The 6825-nt window shown below is 48.8% G+C and overlaps 1 protein-coding gene across 1 annotated transcript; it reads left to right on the top strand.

Moving 5' to 3' along the window:
* On the top strand, positions 652–4773 carry CXCR1 (C-X-C motif chemokine receptor 1). The gene is made up of 2 exons (NM_000634.3): positions 652–706; positions 2370–4773. The coding sequence occupies exon 2, from the start codon at positions 2403–2405 to the stop codon at positions 3453–3455; it is 1053 nt and encodes a 350-aa protein (NP_000625.1). The 5' UTR covers positions 652–706; positions 2370–2402; the 3' UTR covers positions 3456–4773.

Genomic DNA, 6825 nt, shown 5'->3' with positions numbered 1-6825 from the left:
GGAAGGTGGAGAACACTGGGAAGCCAACCTCCAAAGAAGACCAGGTTGGAGGCAAAGGAGGAAGGGGAGCTCTCGTTGGCAAACCAACAGGGAAGCCAAGGATATCCCAGTAACTGCTCTCACATCCTTGATGAGAATGCCTTGAATCCGAGCTAGGCCACCTCAAAGAAGCCTGCAAAATAAGTAGAGATTGAGTGCCTGCTGTTCAAACACAACTCAAGCGCAGTCCTCCTCCTCTTTCCCACTGGATTGCCCCCAAGTCCCTCCTATGGGGGACTCCTTCTGAAGTCTCTGCTGTAAGTCAAATCCTTCGCCCTTTATACTTGGTCAGGAAGTTGCAAGCTTCCACAGGTGATATACTAGGGAATTTAGGAATAAACAAATGGAAATAAATTCAAGAAAAGGAAAATAATAAAAATGATCATCCATAGAGTGGAGAATTCAGATAATGGACCCTCAACCCCAGCTTCACACCTGGGACCCCCACTTGGTCATATGGACCCTGGCAGTCTCTAATCACAAGTCTGTGATCCCTTGACTTAAACTGTTCTTCCCCAAATGTAGACATGGGTGGGGCTCAGAAGGGAGGTGTCATCTGATGTGGTTTCCTTATTTCCGTTTATTCATCAAGTGCCCTCTAGCTGTTAAGTCACTCTGATCTCTGACTGCAGCTCCTACTGTTGGACACACCTGGCCGGTGCTTCAGGTAGGAAGCCACCTCTGTTTGCTAGGACTTTCTGTGGGGTAGGGCTGCTTGGCTTGACTTTATTTTGGAAAATGTATTCATTTCTGTGGGAGCTGAGGATTTCTGCTGCCCGCTTCCTCTCTTGTGACCACCACTCATACATGGAGTTAGCAGGTGAAGAGGACAGCCTCCTCATCCCCTCTTTTTATACCTTGCCCTTTTGTGGGAAGAGGCTGACCATTCCCCAATTTGATGTTTATTGCTTCACCTTAAGACTTTGTCTTCAGTGAAAATGCAAATACTGGTAGGGAGGGAACACACTAAAATGTGTGGATCTGAGTGGACTCATCATACACCCTCAGGCCTGGCAGCAAATGAGAGGTGGATGATTCTGTCTTCCTCGATTTGCAGATGAGAAGACTGAAATCTATAGGGGTACGAGACCCCACTCAAGGTCATGAGACTTATTTATTTATTTATTTATTTATTTTGAGATGGAGTCTCACTCTGTCGCCTAGGCTGTAGTACTGTGGCACGATCTCGGCTCACTGCAACCTCCATTTCCCGGGTTCAAGTGATTCTCCTGCCTCAGCCTCCTGAGTAGTTGGGATTACAGGTGCACGCCACCACACCCAGCTAATTTTTTTGTATTTTTAGTAGAGACGGGGTTTCATCATTTTGGTCAGGCTGGTCTCGAACTCCTGACTTCATGATCTGCCTGCCTTGGCCTCCCAAAGGGCTGGGATTACACACGAAACTTATTAATGGTAGAATCAGGATGGAATGAAGACTGGATGCTAGGTGTCTTTACAACCAACCTCGGTGACTTTCCAAAGGCTTTCAGACTTCTCTGGAGAGTCCTGGAGCTTTGAGGGGCTCTTTAGGGGCCATCTGGGTTCGGAGATTAGCACACTCTGCCCCACAGTGGCTCAGCTTTTATCTGCTTCACATACTGGGCTTCTGGGAAGATCTTATTTCAGTAAACTATTTCACAATAGGAAATATATTTGAAAACTCTTGAATGATTCTGTGGATTTTTTCAGGGGTGGAGGGTTTCAGGGACCAAGATGGAGACTTTATCTTCTCAAATACTTAAAACTCCTTTAGACAGAGGAACAAAATATGTGCTCCTCATTTAAAGAAGGCTTAAAATATACAGTTTAATGCAATGTGTTGTTATCACTTCCTTCCCCCAGTAGATTTTAAGGAGGGTAAACAAGAATCAGGGAGAACATAGGAATAGAAATAGTAGAAGGGGACACCTGGGAACAGGTTTGCCTTCTTGCATTTTGCTTAATGCTGGCCCTTCCCTGAATGTCTAAGACCAACCTGGTCCCCACATCCAAATGCACAGACACAGCTGAGGATGGAGAAGGCTAAAGAGGGACAGAGGTAGAGACATAGGCTGAGAGGAGGCAGTTGTAGGTTGAGCTAGGGCTAAGGTGTTTTCCCCATATTCCATCTTACCCCACACTCAGGCCAGGCCTTAGAGTTGTGGAAGGTGGAGAACACTGGGAAGCCAACCTCCGAAGAAGACCAGGTTGGAGTCAAAGGAGGAAGGAGAGCTCTCATTGCCAAACCAACAGGGAAGCCAAGGATATCCCAGTAACTGCTCTCACATCATTGATGAGAATGCCTTGAATCCGAGCTACTAAATCACATTTCCTTCCTTCTAACCTTCCAGTTAGATCAAACCATTGCTGAAACTGAAGAGGACATGTCAAATATTACAGATCCACAGATGTGGGATTTTGATGATCTAAATTTCACTGGCATGCCACCTGCAGATGAAGATTACAGCCCCTGTATGCTAGAAACTGAGACACTCAACAAGTATGTTGTGATCATCGCCTATGCCCTAGTGTTCCTGCTGAGCCTGCTGGGAAACTCCCTGGTGATGCTGGTCATCTTATACAGCAGGGTCGGCCGCTCCGTCACTGATGTCTACCTGCTGAACCTGGCCTTGGCCGACCTACTCTTTGCCCTGACCTTGCCCATCTGGGCCGCCTCCAAGGTGAATGGCTGGATTTTTGGCACATTCCTGTGCAAGGTGGTCTCACTCCTGAAGGAAGTCAACTTCTACAGTGGCATCCTGCTGTTGGCCTGCATCAGTGTGGACCGTTACCTGGCCATTGTCCATGCCACACGCACACTGACCCAGAAGCGTCACTTGGTCAAGTTTGTTTGTCTTGGCTGCTGGGGACTGTCTATGAATCTGTCCCTGCCCTTCTTCCTTTTCCGCCAGGCTTACCATCCAAACAATTCCAGTCCAGTTTGCTATGAGGTCCTGGGAAATGACACAGCAAAATGGCGGATGGTGTTGCGGATCCTGCCTCACACCTTTGGCTTCATCGTGCCGCTGTTTGTCATGCTGTTCTGCTATGGATTCACCCTGCGTACACTGTTTAAGGCCCACATGGGGCAGAAGCACCGAGCCATGAGGGTCATCTTTGCTGTCGTCCTCATCTTCCTGCTTTGCTGGCTGCCCTACAACCTGGTCCTGCTGGCAGACACCCTCATGAGGACCCAGGTGATCCAGGAGAGCTGTGAGCGCCGCAACAACATCGGCCGGGCCCTGGATGCCACTGAGATTCTGGGATTTCTCCATAGCTGCCTCAACCCCATCATCTACGCCTTCATCGGCCAAAATTTTCGCCATGGATTCCTCAAGATCCTGGCTATGCATGGCCTGGTCAGCAAGGAGTTCTTGGCACGTCATCGTGTTACCTCCTACACTTCTTCGTCTGTCAATGTCTCTTCCAACCTCTGAAAACCATCGATGAAGGAATATCTCTTCTCAGAAGGAAAGAATAACCAACACCCTGAGGTTGTGTGTGGAAGGTGATCTGGCTCTGGACAGGCACTATCTGGGTTTTGGGGGGACGCTATAGGATGTGGGGAAGTTAGGAACTGGTGTCTTCAGGGGCCACACCAACCTTCTGAGGAGCTGTTGAGGTACCTCCAAGGACCGGCCTTTGCACCTCCATGGAAACGAAGCACCATCATTCCCGTTGAACGTCACATCTTTAACCCACTAACTGGCTAATTAGCATGGCCACATCTGAGCCCCGAATCTGACATTAGATGAGAGAACAGGGCTGAAGCTGTGTCCTCATGAGGGCTGGATGCTCTCGTTGACCCTCACAGGAGCATCTCCTCAACTCTGAGTGTTAAGCGTTGAGCCACCAAGCTGGTGGCTCTGTGTGCTCTGATCCGAGCTCAGGGGGGTGGTTTTCCCATCTCAGGTGTGTTGCAGTGTCTGCTGGAGACATTGAGGCAGGCACTGCCAAAACATCAACCTGCCAGCTGGCCTTGTGAGGAGCTGGAAACACATGTTCCCCTTGGGGGTGGTGGATGAACAAAGAGAAAGAGGGTTTGGAAGCCAGATCTATGCCACAAGAACCCCCTTTACCCCCATGACCAACATCGCAGACACATGTGCTGGCCACCTGCTGAGCCCCAAGTGGAACGAGACAAGCAGCCCTTAGCCCTTCCCCTCTGCAGCTTCCAGGCTGGCGTGCAGCATCAGCATCCCTAGAAAGCCATGTGCAGCCACCAGTCCATTGGGCAGGCAGATGTTCCTAATAAAGCTTCTGTTCCGTGCTTGTCCCTGTGGAAGTATCTTGGTTGTGACAGAGTCAAGGGTGTGTGCAGCATTGTTGGCTGTTCCTGCAGTAGAATGGGGGCAGCACCTCCTAAGAAGGCACCTCTCTGGGTTGAAGGGCAGTGTTCCCTGGGGCTTTAACTCCTGCTAGAACAGTCTCTTGAGGCACAGAAACTCCTGTTCATGCCCATACCCCTGGCCAAGGAAGATCCCTTTGTCCACAAGTAAAAGGAAATGCTCCTCCAGGGAGTCTCAGCTTCACCCTGAGGTGAGCATCATCTTCTGGGTTAGGCCTTGCCTAGGCATAGCCCTGCCTCAAGCTATGTGAGCTCACCAGTCCCTCCCCAAATGCTTTCCATGAGTTGCAGTTTTTTCCTAGTCTGTTTTCCCTCCTTGGAGACAGGGCCCTGTCGGTTTATTCACTGTATGTCCTTGGTGCCTGGAGCCTACTAAATGCTCAATAAATAATGATCACAGGAATGAATGCATGCTGAAAAGACCACTCTTTTGCACACCATCTGCTCAAAGCTCCTCTTGTCTGTCCTCTCCGCTTTCAGCCTCCGTCTGTCCACTTATTAAGTTTGCCTTTGTGGTTTAGCTTCATTAGATGTTTATCTGTGTAAAAATGTCCCAAGTGAGGACTTAAGATGTCAGGGCTCTTCTGATGGCAAATGATAGAAAGAGAAGTCAAACTAGCTTAAGCAAAACTGAGAGTGTGGGTTTAGCCTGTGTGGGGAAGGATCAGGGAAGGCTTGAGGTTGGGAATAGGGTGAGGCTCAGAGACAGGACCTAGATCAAGCTTCAGATGGGGATCAGTGATTGATGTTGAAATCAAAGCTGGGATGGGGGCAGGGATGGGGTGGCAGCTTGGGATGAGGTCAGAGAAGGATGAATGCCAGGAATCGGTAGAGATCTACAAGGAGGGAGAGTGAGAGTCAGGGTCACAGTGAGGTGTTGGGAACAGGGAGATTCAACATGGAGCTGGGACCAGATATGGAGAGTGAGACTTTGGAATGGGATAAGTGTGGGGGAGTGGTGAGGCTCAGGGAGGGGGTGTCAGGCCTGGAATGAATATCAGGGAAGGCTTAGTAGCTATAAGGCTGGAGCAGAAGACGTGCCTGGTAGGGTCACCATCCTATCTGGAGCATCATCTAAGATCCTCTTCCGGGGCCAAAAGACAGAGGCTCCTCAGTCTGTCCTGCTTAAGACTCTCCAGGCAGGTGAGTGAGGAGGGAGTTAGGCACTCGAGCCCTAAGAGATAGACCTGATTCAGCAGAGAAGACAAGAAGGATGCAAAGGATGCACAGAGAATCTAGGGCAGAAGGCTGAGAACTGGGGCCTCCTTTTCCTCTCCTCCCTCCGCTGATCTCCCTCCACCTCTCCTACTGTTTCCTCAAAGTCCAACTTCCTCCTTCTTCACCTTATGCTCCTGCAAGGACAACTCCATCAGAGGCTTCAGTAAGTAAATAGGGATCCACACTGGGTCCAGGGGAAATGCAAATGACTCATAACCTCATGAAAAATGCTCAGTCTCACTAGGAACTAAATGAGGCTCAAACAGCAACAAAATAACTCAGAAGTGTTTTAAACAGGGGAGGGATATAGTGGACTCTTCAAACAAGTGCAACATTTTTCGATTGGATTTTTTTTTTTTTTTTAATGAGACAGGGTCTTGCTCTGTCACCCAGGCTGGAGTGCAGTGGTGCATACACAGCTCACTGCAGCCTCAACCTTCTGAGTTCAGGTGATCCTCCAACCTCAGTTTCCAGAGTAGCTGGGACCAGAGCTGTGCGCCATTATGCCCAGATAATTTTTAAAATTTTTTGTAGATATGGAGTCTTGCCACGTTGCCCAGGCTGGTCTTGGACCCCTGAGCTCAAGTGATCTGCCTGCTTCGGCCTCCTAAAGTGCTGGGATTACAGGTGTGAGCCACTGCACCCAGGCTGATTGGAAATTCTAATGCAGCCTGTAATTTTCTGGGTATAGCTCAAGACACAAATGATTTGGATTTCAGATTTTTAAAAAATGTCAGGATTTTGGTACTTAGTTAACAGCATATTGAAGTACCAAAAACTGATATTTCAATTACTAGATAGGGTGAGGATTAGATCCAGTCAGAGCCAGGGAGAGTGTTTGCCTTAAGGAGGGACTCCCTTGTCCAGGATGGGGCTGGCACTAGGGATGGGGTGAATCTTAGGACAGGAGTGGGGGTCAGAAATGGGAGGGGTCAGTGATGAGATTGGGATTACAGAGGGGATGTACATCAGGGTAAGGTGAGGGACGGGGATTAGGATGTAACGGCATGTTCTGCACAATGCTTCCTGATGTTAAAATCCTAAAGTTTGTTTTGTAGCCTTGGTGACAACGTTTGAGACTCTAAATCAAAATGTGAAAATCTACTGTTTTCCCCTAAACCAGTTCCACTTCTGACCAACCACAGCCTCTCACCACCCCTTGCCCTCCATCCCCTGGCCCATTCTTGTTAATTCCAGCAAAAATACTAATTGACAATCAACATTTTATGCCATAGAGGTAA

This window comes from Homo sapiens, chromosome 2, assembly GCF_000001405.40.
Source record: "Homo sapiens chromosome 2, GRCh38.p14 Primary Assembly".
Taxonomy (NCBI): domain Eukaryota; kingdom Metazoa; phylum Chordata; class Mammalia; order Primates; family Hominidae; genus Homo; species Homo sapiens.
This window is presented reverse-complemented; position numbering and strand designations above follow the sequence as displayed.

Bases quoted from the DNA above. Each gene is read 5' to 3' on its own strand.
- CXCR1 (NM_000634.3), top strand. From the start codon at position 2,403: ATGTCAAATATTACAGATCCACAGATGTGGGATTTTGATGATCTAAAT.